Source organism: Homo sapiens, chromosome 7, assembly GCF_000001405.40.
Source record: "Homo sapiens chromosome 7, GRCh38.p14 Primary Assembly".
Taxonomy (NCBI): domain Eukaryota; kingdom Metazoa; phylum Chordata; class Mammalia; order Primates; family Hominidae; genus Homo; species Homo sapiens.
The window spans coordinates 81676785-81692458 of record NC_000007.14 but is presented as its reverse complement, the minus strand read 5'-3'; the positions used below and the strand labels follow the sequence as shown (position 1 = coordinate 81692458).

Below are 15674 nucleotides of genomic sequence, written 5' to 3'. Positions count from 1 at the left end.
AAAAATACGATAGCATTATAATCTCTTTTGTTTACTCTTTTAGTAATAGCATCTCCAAATTCCTTTGGCAGTAGTGTTGGGGAGGTGGTTTCCACTGGCTTCTGTCATACACTTCTGTTTTAAATCAGCACATGTTTATTGAGCATTTACTATGATAGTACTGAGTGCTGGGGATACCATGGTGAATAAATAAACCTTGACCCCTACCCTTCTTATAAATACAAGCAAGTTTGGGAAACAGGCATCAACCAAGAATCTGAAAGTGTTAACTGAGAAGTGCAAATAGCTTCTGGAGTATATAGCAAGATTTTACTGTGCTTTTCAGTTCATCCTTCCTTAATCTTTCAACATTGTGGTAATCTCAAATCCTGCCTATTGGAATATTATTTTTTTCTATTTTATGAACACTTCCATTATGACATAATTATTTAATCATATTTAGTGTTTCTCTCTTTTATCTTTCCTCTTTCTTTGTTGAATTTTTCCAGATTCCTAATCTTTTAAGTCTTGCCCCTTCTTTCTTACTTTCCCAAGTGTCTTATCACACTTAATAGATTCAAGAGGTCTGTGTATTTATTATCAAGGGAATAACATAGTTTCTCAAATGGTGAAAACACTAGCACATTTTACACATGAAATTACAAAGATTTCTCTAGTTAGCATGAAATTGACAAATGTTTCATCGTAAGCTTTTAATTACATCTGAAGATGATCAAATAACAATAGATAATGCTTATTCAGTGCTGTTTTCCAGGCTCTGTTTTATCTCATTTAATCACCATTACAACTTTACATAGGCAGGTTCTAAAACTACATCCGTTTTAGAGAAAAGGAAGTGTTCAAATAATTCATAATTAGAATACATTTAGGGGTGGATTTTCAATATTAATTCCACCTGGCCCTTTGTTTTATACTGTGTCGTGGACATTTGATTTAATTATTTTCCAGGAAAGTAGGAGGGAGGGAAAACACTTATTTAAACAAGAAAACATTGCTATCATCTGGGTAGGATATGAGCAAGAAGTTATTCAGAGGTCAAACTGCTTTTCACACAGGCCTTGCCCAAAGCTCTTTGAGATGTCAACTAAAGGAACATGGCCTCCTCATCTCTAAATACACCTGGCTAACAGGCGAGTTGCTTCTTACCATGAAGTTGAAAGTTAGCAGGGAAAGGCCAGTTTAGCAGAGGAGATTTATTTATCTTTAATGGGGGAAGGGAGTGTAGCTATTGAAAAAGAAAAGCAACAGGCTTGTGAGACAGAAATAGAACTGCAGAGAAATGTGTATTGCTAAAAATTCTAAGGGACTTCGTTGGGAAAAAGTTCAAAATTTATTCTGAAACAAAGAAAAGCAGTAATGGTCCCTGCCCTTTATTGCTGATACCAGAAGGTGTTTTATGAAAGAGAGAAACACCTTCAAAGAAAATTACCATCTTTTTCATAGGGTCGTTTTGCATTACATTACAAGTCTATATTACAGAGACTTTGACAACTGCCAAGGCCTGTTAAAAATCACCTCTTCATTTTACACACACACACACACACACACAAACACACACACACAAACACACACACACAAACACACACACAAACACACACACACGAACAGAAAAGTATAATGACTTGCCCAGGGTCACATAGCTGGAGGCAGAGCCAGTCCTGGGAACAAGACCTACTCTATTTTACATTCAAAACCTTAGTTTTATTATTTACTTATTTTTAATCATATTCATGTATATTAAAGTTTAATCGAAATCCTGAAGGATCTGCAATACTTTTAGAAGAGTTTAAAAGCATGAATAGTTAAAAAATTTAAAACACTGTCAGAGAAAAGGAGAGACTCAACTTACCTTACAGCTGAATTAGATAATAGAAAAGGCCTGGCAGAGAAAGCCAATCCCAGGTGCAGCCCTAGTAAACTCCTACATAAGGAGCAAGACAAGGTGGATCTTCGTTTGGCCTCCTTCCCCAATTCAGTTTGTAATTTGACTCCGTGCCTGGCCGGGAAGAAGTTATTCTAAGGAGAACCTGGGGCTGCATTTGTTGGCAGAAATGGAGTTGAAATGCAAATCAAACAAGAGCACAAGCAAGCAAGCAGTAGCATAAAATGGAATGAGTGCAGGTCCGTTCTTTTCAACCTCTGGGGAAATGACCCTGCCAATTCAGAAACCCGCAAGAGTTCCTGCCCTAGAGAGGTGATTTTATTTTTATTTTTTAAGCAGCTTTAGACGACTGTCTTTGTTTGCAGATTTAAAATTGCTTTCACTTACTTTTACAGAACTAGGGATGTTCTGTGGCTGTGCAACCTGTGAGATGAGTTCTTAAATAGACTAGTTTGAGACTCTAACTTGATGTTTCCCAAATACAGATTGTACATTTTGATTACAGGCTTAGTAAATAGTTCTTATCGTTCTCAATATCATGCTTGTGATTTGTATATTTCTCAGCCACCTTAATTCATTAATTTGAATCTTCAAGCTCTGTGTACCTTGTAATATTATGAGTATTCTCAAGATGTTCACATATCTAAAAATATAACAAAAGCCCTCTTTAGTCTAATGATCCCTGTGGAAACTCTGCAGTCTCCTTTACGAAATAGTACTGTTTGGGGGAAGAGAGAGGGCTGGCAAATGAGATATCCTGATCACTTCTGCATGTCGTCAATGATGTACAATTGTATTATCTTGACTTTCATGTTTTGAGTAACATCATAGCAATATGGCCCAAATTTTAGCTAAATTTTTTGGAACCCTCTTATAGCATCATGCCTGGAGTTTAGTGTATCTGGATGCTCTTCTGAGGTATACTCAAAAAGACAAATTTTTGTGAATCTACCCACCTGGATGTCCAATAGGTACTTCAAATTACATCTTACAAACACCTATCATGTCATTTCCCCCTAAAACTGGGTTTTCTCTAAAATTTTCAAGTTTCTATTCCAGTTCTGGCAGTACCATCTGCAAAACCACCAAAGCCAGAGCCCTGGCTCATCCCATTGTTCTGCCACTGCCCCACAGCTCAGCTCTCTAAGTGCTTCTGATCTTGCCTTCATTAAGTGCTTCTAATTATGCCCTCAAAGTTACCATTCCTCTTCCTGTTTGCCTCATTCGCTCTGGTAGAAACTGTCATTATTTCCCTCCACTGCCTCAGTGTTCTAAAAAGCTGACTCCAAACTAGTTTTTCCTCAAGCCCTTCTCACCTGTTCTGTCGGAGTGATCTCTTTCAAGGGCACAAGTGGAAAAGGCAGCCAACACTATAGTCCTTCTGTGGCTTTCCATCTGCCATGATGCAGACCGCAGGTTTTTAGTGACCTCAGAACTCACCCTCACCTCTTCCCTAATTGTTAGTTCTGCTTTAAGCAAAGAGATTGCATGGTCCTACTTTGAAAGAATACTCATATGTTTTGTTTTGCTGTTTGTTTTTATTTGTCCCTTTGTTTTATTGGCCTCAATGGTGTTTGTCATGGTGTTCTGTTTTGGTGATTTGTCAATGTTTTGTCATGGTGTTCTTTCTTATGTAGTTCTACCTATTGTCTCTATTCTTTGCTAAATCCTACTTAGGTTTTGAGTTTGACTTCAGTTTTATCTTCCTCTTGGCCGTTATCCCAACCAAGTGGCTGGCTGGGTCCTGCCTTTCTAGTTTAGTTCCTACCAGCCCTATTGTCTGGGCATGAAACACTGCTCTAGATCTGTTTCATCTGTTTTTAAGTGGATAACCTTAGAGAACCTACTTTCCCTGAAGCAATAGGATTTCAGCTCTGTAACTGAGCTTAGCCCACTTACAGCTTGACATTGTTGCACATAAAACCACTTAGACATTGTTCTCAAGCTGTTCTCTCTTGCTGGGAGCTTCAGCTTCTACATCAAGTGTTGCTAGTGTGCACACACTGAACCATGAATTGATATTTTTGCTTTCTCTCCCATGAAATAAAATTTAGAATAAGGTACACATAAGTAGCTCTTAAAATAGTTATGACCTTGGATTTGTTTGATCTTAATTTTAGATTTTTAGTTAATCAGCAGTAGTTTGAATCACTGTAATTTCCCTCCACTTAAATATTTAACATCATTTGTGTGATATTAAGGGATTCTATCTATGCCTTTATGAGTTGTTGTTTGCAATATATATTAAGTATGCTATTAATATGAAAGAAAGTCTCATGAATGTGGTTTTATCAGTTAGAATTAGGTTTTGCTAAATTGACAAAAATACAAGATAATAATTTTATTTTTCCTTCATATAAAATCAAACTAGAGGTAGAAGTCCCAAGTTGACACGGTAGTTTCAGGAATCACTGGGGACTCAGATTCTGTCTGTTACTGAATTATTCCCAATACTCAGCTGAATTATTCCCAATACTCAGCTCCATTTCATGTACAAAATGGGTGCTTAAGGACCCATTATCAAGTCTGTGTTCCAAGCAACCAGAGAGAGAAAAGAAGGAAGTGCAGCCTTTCCTTAAGAACATATCCCAAGAGCCCAGGCATGGCTCTCCTGCTTATGTTCCCGTGGCCATGAACTTAGTTACATGGCCAAACCTAGCTGAAAGGGTGACTTAGGCTTCACGTGCCCAGCTAAATATTTGGAATTCTATTACTAACATTAGTAGAGAATGGATTTGGGGGAGTACCAGCTAACTCTGTGCTAAAGGATATTTACTTTTGTAAAGAAAAACTTTAAACTTTCTTTTCCATTCTTTCCAAAGATTCAGAATTCTTCATAATTTTAAGGAGGAAAATGTGACATATAGTTTTCTTTTCCTTGTGTAGCAGAACATAAATGGTGAGGGTGGAAAGGTAAAGTAGTAGTATACTTCCTTAGATGGAGTATTGATACAATTATTTAACCCACTTAATGACAATAGAACTTTATTTGAATTACAGGATCAGGCTACATAAAGGGACAATTAGAGATATCATTTCTAGTGATTCAGAGTGAGTATAAGAATATTTACTGAAAAAAATTTTTATCTCCAAATTTCTCCTCTTACCTTCATTTTCTACTGTTTTCAGCAGATAGCAGTCCTAAAATTTCATTTTAAATATATATTACTTTTTTATTTTGTATACTTTTGTTGGAACAAACTTTATATACTTTGTGGAGAGAGAATGTATTGTGTAATCAGTGAGCTTTAAAAGACAAGAAAAAAACTAAACCATATCTTGTTAAAATTATGAAGACAAAACTGTACTTAACATCTGGTCATGACTATTTCAAGCAACACTCATGTGATTTGATGATATGCTAGATAATTATGAGAGTTGGGTTTTATATGGGAAAAAAAGTAGAGTGATTTTTTAATACATTTTCTAGCAACCATTTCAACTTAAATTAAACATACTTATGTTCCTATAATAAAGTAAGCTATACATTTTTTAAATCTCACTAAAGCCTAATAATCTACAGAAATTTATATGAATTTCATATATTCATGAGGAAAGAGAATTTTAGTTTACAATGGTTAAATTTTTAAGTTAAAGTGTATAACGTAATGCTTTTTCATCATTAGATAGACTTTCTATTTGGAAAATATTTATGATTAGGTAATCTACTTTTAAGTATTGATGTGTTATATGTTCAAAATTTAAAATATATTAAAATTAATGATAATATAAATAAGCCAAGGTAAAGAAATGAACCAATACTTATTGAATACGTTCTATGTGCAGACACTATATAAAAAAAAAGTGAATATAGATTTTTTTTTTTTTTTTTTGAGATGGAGTCTCACATTGTCATCCAGGCTGGAGTGCAGTGGCACAATCTCGGCTCACTGCAACCTCCGCCTCCCAAGTTCGAGGAATTCTCCTGCCTCAGCCTCCCGAGTAGCTGGGATTACAGGTGCCCGCCACTATGCCTTGCTGATTTTTGTATGCTTAGTAGAGACGAGGTTTCACCATGTTAGCCAGGCTGCTCTTGAACTCCTGACTTTAGGTGATCTGCCTGCTTCGGCCTCCCAAAGTGCTGGGATTACTGGTGTGAGCCACCGCGCCTGGCCATGAATATAGATTTTTAATCTCACAATAATCTGTCGATATGGTTTGGATCTGTGTCCCCATCTAAATCTCATCTTGAATTGTAATAATCCCCACATGTCAAGGGTGGGACCAGGTGGAGATAATTGAATCATGGGGGCAGTTTCCCCCATGCTAGACTGGTGATAGTAAGTTCTCACAAGATCTTACAGTTTTATAGGGGGCTTCCTTCCCCCTTTGCTTGGCTCTCATTCTTCTCTTTCCTGAAATCATGTGAAGAAGGATGTGTTTGCTTTCTCTTCTGCCATGATTGTAAGTTTCCTGAGGCCTCCCAGCCATGCAGAACTGTGAGTCAATTAAACCTCTTTGTTTTATAAATTATCCAGTCTTGGGCAGTTCTTCATAGCAGTGTGAGAACAGACTAATATATTTCTATATCTTCATTTTACCAACAAGCTAATTAAAAGTTAGGAACTAGGCATGGTGATCATTATTAAGTGATGTGCATCCAATTTATACTCTTCACCAAGATTTTTCCATCTTGCTCCACCATGATATGTTTTATTTTCATTGTTTCATAATCTTAGGATGAAATATCTAACATATCTATTTTGAAAGGTATGGTAATGTTATTGTATCTGTGTTCTGTCTCCTTTATTTTTAAGTATATATTTCAAGGAGTTAAATTATTTCGCTTGTTGCTATTTATGAAAATTCCTTGTAGCAATAGAACAAACCGTTTATTCAAGAATGTGAAATTCGGCCCTGCTCTAAACTACATTTGTTAATTTAACTTGACATATTTATTAAACAGATGTTATGTGTCAGGTACTTGCCTAAGCATTGAGAACACAGTAGTGGGTGACTTAGGCAATAAATAAACAACTTGAAAATAATAAAAACAACAGTTTTAAAAAATAAAAAAAAGTAGGGAGATAAAGCAATCCAAGGAAGAGTCTGAGGTATAAGATCTATGATCAAGGAAGACCTTTCTCTTCATGAGATCATATCTGAGCAGAGACAGAAAACACAAGAAGGAAAAAAACAAAACACCATACTCCATGGGGAGGAAGGGCAAGCATAAGGGACATGAAGTGGTGCATGCTTGGAGAACTCTAGGGCAACAAGGAGGTCTGCATGTTTGGATGAATTTGGAGAGTGGTGGAAGAGGAGGCTTAGAAGTAGGTTTGGAGATAGACAGGGTCCAGATAATAAATGGAGAGCTTTGTAGGCTACGGTTAGGAGTTTAGTAGTAAGCTCTGCTTACTCAGATTGAGGGAACAGCCTCACTCTGGACCACTGCCAGTCAGCATTGCAGAAGGGACTTACAGCTGCTCCCCAGAGGCAACACACGTCACTTCTGTGTAGAGTTCATTGATGAGAGTGAGTCACAGGGCCAGTCCTGAGTCAGTGAGCCAGAATGTAATTATCCCTGAGAGAAGAGCAAGGAACATGTGTGAATCATAACACAACCTATCACAAGTAACTGTCTGTTAATTGGAGGGTCCTCTGGGCCCCCAAATGAATTTCATATACTCCATATGACAGCATTTAAATCATACAATTTAAAATACTTTTTCCCAACTTTGCAAGAAAAAAAAATTCAGCTATGTCATTGAAACAGATCAGCCAGACAGATAGGTCTGGCTTTATTTATTGAAAGCTCCAGAAAAAGAATGACTGGGTTAAAGCAAGGGAGATAATTATTTCTGAAGCTCTTTAACATATAACCAGATTGCCTTCAAAATGGGGGTGCATGAATTTATGCTGTGATCAGCAATATGTGAGAATTTTCCTGAATTTAAGCTCTTAACATATGAGAATTTTAAGTGTCATTGAAGCATCATTAGCAGTTTGTTTTCTGACTTCTTATATTTTGGTTTTTTGATATAGGATAATAGGGGTACTTTCTCCTGCTCTGGCTTGTAAGAAGAGCTACAATTTTCATGTGTTTAGCTCTGAAGATGGCTTTTTTTTTTTCATGTCGTCTCCACCTGCAATGGAAAATGGTGTGAAAGAAATAAGCCTTTGTCTTGAAAAACACTAGGATATTCGTGTTGTTTATCACTGTGGCATAACCTAGACTACCTTGACTGAAATAATTACACTTCAGAAGATTGAAATGAAGGCACACTAAGACTGCTACATGACGATCAATCAGTAACAGCACACAATACGCATTCAGATTCTATGGAATGTGAAAACAAATAGTGGTTTCATGTATGAGGTCAAAATTAAAATTCAGACAGGAGGAAACTCCAAATGAAGAGGTGTTGATTTAGAGTTAACCTGTCACTCACAGATGACTGTGGTTTGGTTTATGATGAGTGGCATCAGAGACTTATTTATTGTCGTAAGTACTATTATTGATTCTTGAGAGCAAGGCTGAGGAGGCTAACTCATCTAGCCTAAGGATAGAATTATATATACGGAGAAAAAAGTGTGCTAATATGTTTATCATTGCATTTCTATAATACTCAAACCCTGAAACAACCTAAATATCTGACTTTAGGATGGCTTAATATATAGTATAAACTCAGATATATTTTGCTGCTATTAAAATATGTCACATTGCTAAGGGTTACTTGTGAAAATGCTTGTGATGATGTATATGTGTGATGTGTGTATATGTCTGTGTGTAAATATAAAACATAGTAAAAATTGAAAATTAGTATTTCTGGATAGCAAGGAACAAAAAATGTGGCATCTGTAGCCATAAGGTGGAGAAAAGAGTGATTTTAAATTATTCTTGCCACATTTAACAAAATTTCATCACCCTATGGTATATGCACACACACTTAATACAGAACAAAATAGGGCCTGCAGGATTTGGCAGGTAGGGTTTTGTGGTTGATCTTGGAAAAACAAGATTTAATTGAGGGAGAAAAGAAACTCAACATGATGTATTGGATTAGCAGGTAATTTTAGTTTGTGTTTTTCCAAATGTTCTCTCTCAGCCTTGAAATTAAGCAGATAACATATACAAATACAAAATGCTCATAAAGTGTTTAAAAGAGAAAATCTGAGTTTTCATGGACATGAAAAATAGCATTTTTTTCCCCTTAACATTGCCAAATTTTCTTGTGCAATTTAGAACGAGTCTCTTTGTGACTCCATATTAATCAATTTCATAATCTTATACCTTCAATTTGTCATTTAAAAATGATTCAGACTTTTGTTTCTAACTGTGGTTGGAGTCTCTTAAAAACATATCCTGTGTGGCTGTAGGTGCCATATGCTAAGGTTTAGCTTTACACTATTTATCACCACGGTCCCTCATCCTTTTTGCTTCTAATTCTATGTGTAATAAAAGGGGAAATTTATCTTTATTTACTTAATTTCAAGCCTCAGAGATTGCCTCTGCCATCCACACACAGCAGCAGCGTTGGTAGTCAGTAACCATGAGTGAGTGGAGGCATATGTCTGCACATCTCTTCAATTACCCTCCCCTGGACTTTCTCACTGTCAGCTTTATCTTCATTAAGGCAAAGCTACCACTTTCCCTTTGCATTTTTGTGTGCTAGGTCCTTGGTAAAAGGAGCTGGTGTTTTGTTCTTTAGTGCTATCTTTTGTGTATTAGCTTAGCAAAAAATAAAGAGCTTGATGAGAGGTGTATATGTGTGTGTGTGTTACCATTTTGTATTTACAGTGTAAATGTAATACATGCCTATGAATATAAAAAAATGTAAGAAATGCAGAACAGTACACGGTAAAACTGAAAACAGCACATCATCACAGAGATGATATTAACAGTTTGGCATATATCATTTAAATGCTATTCTATGTATATAATTGATGCTTTCTTTTCAAAAATGTAATCAGCCTACAGATATTGTTCTGTAATTTTTTTAATACTCTCAACACTCTACCATATATGTTTTTCCATGATCACATTCACAGACCATTTCCATCCTCTATAACTGAAATTATTCTATACTTTAGGTGTATATATTTATATAGATCAGCATTCCACTGGAAAGCTATTGCTTTTTATGTGAATGGATATCACATAACTATATTATTGTCTTTTTCTTTCAATCACACTGCTTAATCCCCTAGATTTCCTTATGGCATTTTCAAACTGAGTAATTTTTCTTTGCCTTTTCTTATAAAAATAAGTATCAAAATCCAATTATTTCAGTCAAAAATTTAAAAAGAAAGGGAAATGAAACATCATGCTTAATATGTGCCAGGATTTATACTAGGACTTTTAAATGTATGTTTTTTATCTTTATAAAAATTGTGTGAATAAAACCCATTGGTAATACAATATTTATTGAACACCTCCTTTGTGCCCAATGTTGTGTGAACTAGCTGTCATGCAAGTTAGATATATTGTGATCATTTCATAAAGGGAAGAGAAAACTGACTTCAAGAGGCTAAAAACTAAAGGTGATAAATGGATGTGATAGTATTTGAACATGTCTGTATAAAAACATAGCCTTTATTTTTCTATTAAACCATTTAATGTTACTCATTTAAGTGTTTATAATAGATAATATTTGTTTTATATTGTTTCACAATTCATCTTCCTAAAAATTTAATAATTTAGTTAAAAACCTCCAATGGCTTGCAGTTCTCTAGAGGATCTCATCTGAAATACTCAACGGTGTTTCAAAGCCATTTAAACTCCTTTGTCTCCAACCCCTCTATCTATAATCATGCAGAACTAATTTTCATTCACCGAACATTACATGTCACAACTTTGCATATCGCTTTCTCAAATGCTACTATATCTTCCTTCTATACATGGTAAACTTATATTCGTATTTTCCATACAACTAAATTGTCGACACCTCTGGGAAGCCCTCCTAAACTTCCTCAGAGAGAACAGTCACTTCCTTCTATGAGCTGCTATATCAATTTAGACATGCCTTTACCATATTATATATCATATCATAATATAGTGCAATTATGGTTTTAGCACAGACTTTTAGAAAGTAAAATTTGTATTTGTAACTTCTATTCTACCCAGTCTAGTTCCTTGGGTAGCAAATAGTCAGTGCTCAAGAAATTAGAGCTAAATAAATACCACAGAATACTTAACTTGAGGTTAGATTCCTACCCTGACCACTGAATAAGACATTACCAAATCTACCGCGAGAATATAGATCAGCTTTAATAATCTAAATCTGCATCTTTGAGGGATGAGTATTTTTGTATGGATGGATGATACTAATTATGTCCCAAACCTTCTCTATTACTGTAGCCAGTTTTACTCTAGGATTGTCATGAAAAGGTGAGAATACAGGACAGATTTCTTTCCACTCTAGGACCATTTAAATAATCCAACAGTTATTGCCAGAGTTTACTATGAACTTAGGTCCAATGCATGTTGTTTCACTGGGCACAAGAAAAAGACCTAGGGAAATGTCCCCTGGCCTCTTTTTAAGGCATCAGAGTCTTGTGTAACTTCATGACATCTATGTCTTCTCTGTTTATAATTTTCTAGCTCTGGTAAATCCAATACTGAAAAGTCATTCAAATGTCTCTTTTATTGGATTTTGCTGCTGTTTGAGCTACTTTTGATTTATTTTTTATAAGCACCTTCTTCTTATGTTAGAAATAATCTTTCAAGTGAAAGAAGTAAGTTCATTTCAACAGTATCCTATATTTGGAAGTTGTTCTCATCTTATGAGCAACTTTACTGGTTATATGCATATTTATGCTGTTATAAAAATCTTTTCAAATAAGGTATGAATTTCTATAAACTGAAACTCAATTACTTTATTAAAATAAGATTACATTTAAGTGAGAGAACTCTGGAAACGTGATTGTTAGTTGCATTATTATGGTGTTTAAACTTCCTATCTTTAGTTATTCCATAATATACTATAAAACAGCTGTTGAATTTAAGCATAGCATTGGCTTTATTTCAGCAATAAATGAAATGATTTGGATGCATACATGATGATAACACAGGGAAGCCAGTTTGGAAAAGCAATCTTTTAAATGCAATCTGGCATGAACTGGAGTTATCTGAAGGAAGATCCCCGATTCACCTATCTTTCATCTAAGACTGCCACTGGAGAGAACAATTTTTGCCCTTTTTTCATGCTACACCTGCTCCTGTTAAACTCATTTCTAGCTTTTCCTCAAGGAGGAACTAGTTGCTAATCCACTTGATCAGAGTTTGAATGTACTATAAACCACAATAACTAGCCAATGGAGTCACTATGGCTTAAAAAGTAGTTGCTATTATTGGGTTCTTTCTCTCCTACTTCCTCTTTGTAGCTGAGAGGTTAAGACCCTGCAGAGCGTTCTAGCTCTCTCTACCTTACTCAGGTGAGAGGATTTTCCCCATGCCTGTTTAAACATATGGGATTTTTTTCTGTTGCTGTTTCCTCTGTATAGAATACTTCTACCTGGGTTATCTTGTGTCTTACTTCCTTCAGATCTTTGTCAAAATTGCAAAGCTCTCAATGAGACCTTTCCTTGTCCATCCCATTATAAACTGCATTCAGAGCCTTTTGGCTTTCCTTATCATTTGTCACTGCTTTATGTATTTGCCCAAGCCACTTATGGCCATCTAACATATGGAATATCTAATTAACTTGTGAATTATCTCTTTCGTCAGTAGGATATAAATTCCATGAAGGTCGACAGGTGTTTCTTTGATCTTGTAACCAGAGTACTTGTCACAGAGTCAGTCTTTAATATATATTTACCAAATAATTGGGAAAAAAAAACAAAGCAATATGGATCAATGAGCAGAAGGTAGAATGTCCACACTGTACATTCCAACTCAATTTCACCAGAGTTCTTTAGGATATGGAATAATACAACTTCAGTTCTTAATCAATTGGCACTTTACCTAAGTTTGCTACCATTCTTTAATAATAATTCCACAGGGATATTAATGTCGTAGTGGGAGACAAAAGGTTAGTTTTGTTTGTTTGTTTTTGAGACTGAGTCTCGCTCTGTCACCCAGGTTGGAGTGCAATGGCGTGATCTCTGCTTACTACAACCTCTGCCTCCTGGGTTCAAGTGATTCTCCTGCCTCAGCCTCCCGAGTAGCTGGGACTACAGGTGCATGCCACCACGCCTGGCTATTTTTTGTATTTTCAGTAGAGATGGGGTTTCACCGTGTTAGCCAGGATGGTCTCGATCTCCTGACCTTGTGATCCACCTGCTTCAGCCTCCCAAAGTGCTGGGATTATAGGTGTGAGCCACCGCACCAGGCCAAGGTTAGTTTTTATTAGCAGGGGAGACTATGGTTCTTTTTTTGTTCCTGGACTTAGTATCACCGAACACCATCAAAATCCCGTTACAATAACTAGTAAGTTATAGCACCCAATAAATGCTAGCTTATTCACAATGTTATGGAACCTTTATTTTATCCAGATGAGTCTTTAGAGAAAACCAGTGGGATGAGAAACCTGAGAACCATTCTACTAGACTCTACGCTGCATTTCCCATTCGTAAATTGTAGATAATTCCATAAAAAATGAGACAACTCGCTCTGCTCTCATTGTAAGCATATTGAAGTGCTTACAATTGTGTTCAGCACATATGAAGTGTCTAAATGTAAAGTTAGCATTACCACCATCACCCAATCAATTATCAGGCCTTGGTGAATCTCTCTCTGTGTCTCTCAACTCTATCTTCTCCTTTTTCTTACCATGGATGACAGAGGGCACTGTTTTCCAAGTCGTTTACTTGGCACTAGTAGTACAGAAGATTATTTTAGATGTCATGTAAGAATAAATCATAAAAATAAAGTTACTCTGTTTTAAGATAGTGAAATTAGTTTTGTTCTGAATAAGCTTGAATTTTCAAGCACATTGATATAAAATAAAGCATTAAGTAAAGACATATATGGTTAATACATTGATACGCAAAAAATTCTTGATGGCATTTTGTAGGAATAGTCACTGATATTTAGAAAGACTTTTATCTTGACCATCTTTTTCTCATTCCCTACTTCTTTTCAATTCTCTACTATCCTCTGAATTACCTTTCCAAACAAAAATCTGACTCTGCGGCCCCCTTGCTTTAGGTGTCTTCAACTCTTAGCCTTCTCTATAGTGCAGATCTCAACCTTAGGAATGCACAAATCTCTTTGTGGTCATTGAGACTGCGACAAAGGCAGATTTGGCCTCTGCCTTCGTCACCAATCTCAATGATCACAGCTTTCCCAGCACACTTTGTGCTTCATCAGAATCAAGTTGTTGAAATGTCATTATCATACCCAGTACAAGTTTACAATCTATGACCATTTAGGCAACAGTTTCCTTTGACTAGATGGTCACATATTTGCTTATCCAAATGGAGAATTTAGATTCATGCTTCAAAACCCAATTCATATGTTGTCTTTTAGGAAGCCTTCTGAAAGGTAGAGTTGATGATTTCTCTCTCTGTGATATGATATTTTATGTTATTAAATATTTTCTTCTATCTTATTTTTACATATTTCATATATATGTCTACATAATATCTCCTTCACAGGAATATCAGCAGAGACACTATCCATATCCCTGGCAATCAACATGACAAAAAGCAGGCAATACGTAAATGTTGAGTGCATCAATGAGTAAATATACATGTATGCCTTCCTTTCAAAGTAAATATAGACATATATACTTAAAAACAGATATATACAATATAAATAATAGTGGTTAATAATTGGTGCAGATTGTATTTTCTCATACATTCCACTCTGTTTTCACTGAAGTTGCAATGGAAAATTCAACCACTCTGTTCTAATTATCAAAACCAATGCCTTCATTCTAGACTCAATCATACTTGATCTTTCCATAACCATGGAAATCATTAAATGCTAACACATTTGAATTCCACTCTTTCCCTAACTTCTGTGTTTGTCACTTAGATCATGTTTTCTCAGTCCCCTGCTCTGCTTCTTTATTCCCCATTTTAGTTATCAAACTCCTAATTTTTCTAAATTGAAATCTTAGCATCATTTTTAACAATATCCCCTTACTCCCAGACTGCATCCAACTGTATAACAAGTTTTGTGCATCACCCATCACATTTGTTGTTTTTTAAAATACTCTTTTAGAGCAACTTTAGGTTCTCTAATTTGTTTATAATGTTAAATAATTGTGCATTCCATGGTATTTCAGGCTATGAACTCTCATCTAGATGATTGAAATGCCTCGCTAACTGGTTATGTTTGGATTCACTTAGTTGTTTCATAATCTCACATCCAGCTAATTTATTCTAAAAAGGGTAAATGTATTGGCTTATCGCATCAATTATATATTGTCACAGTCATATACTGTCAATTATATAATGTCACAATAAACAATGTCAGAAATAGCCATTACATCTCAGTGGAATATAAACAGTAAACATTGATTTTGCCCTATAAGCCTATAGGTTAGGTGAGCACAACTGCTAAGCTGGACTGGGTTTGAATATTTTTGGTTGGGCTAGCATAATTGAGGTAGGCTGGCAAGTCGGCTGCCATCTGGCCAGGATGACTCAGCTCTCCTTCACAAGGTCTTCCAACCTCCAGTGAGCCAGTGTAGGTTTGTTCTTACAGCAATGGCAGGGTTTCAAAAGGACAGATTGTCATAGGCCTCTTGAAACTCAGGCTCAGAGCTGGTACATGATCACTTCCTCCTCATTCTATTGGCCAAAGCAAGTTACAAGGTTATCCTGGCTTTGAGAATTGGAGAATAGAATCCATTTTTTTGATGGCAGGAGCTGAAAATTCACACTGCAAAGGGCACAGATA

At 35.8% G+C, this 15674-nt stretch overlaps 1 long non-coding RNA gene across 1 annotated transcript in view, besides 2 other annotated features; it reads left to right on the top strand.

The window, feature by feature from the left end:
• Window positions 1-1052: 1052 nt before the first annotated feature.
• The window catches only part of LOC100128317 (uncharacterized), a 115021-nt gene continuing 100399 nt past the window's right edge, over window positions 1053-15674 (top strand). The window contains exon 1 of the long non-coding RNA NR_126025.1: window positions 1053-1130. This is a non-coding gene — a long non-coding RNA (uncharacterized LOC100128317). The remainder of the gene's footprint in view (window positions 1131-15674) is intronic.
• Window positions 7235-7284: a silencer, noted in NCBI's record as "silent region_18335". NCBI's record gives its function as "represses an Ori minimal core promoter by ATAC-STARR-seq in GM12878 lymphoblastoid cells {active_cell/tissue: GM12878}" and the evidence as "EXISTENCE:reporter gene assay evidence [ECO:0000049][PMID:35858748]".
• Window positions 8996-9165: an enhancer, noted in NCBI's record as "experimental_100136 CRE fragment used in MPRA reporter constructs". NCBI's record gives its function as "activates a minimal promoter by MPRAs in K562 erythroleukemia cells, with activity observed for both the introgressed and non-introgressed 7:81312695 variant alleles {active_cell/tissue: K562}" and the evidence as "EXISTENCE:reporter gene assay evidence [ECO:0000049][PMID:34662402]".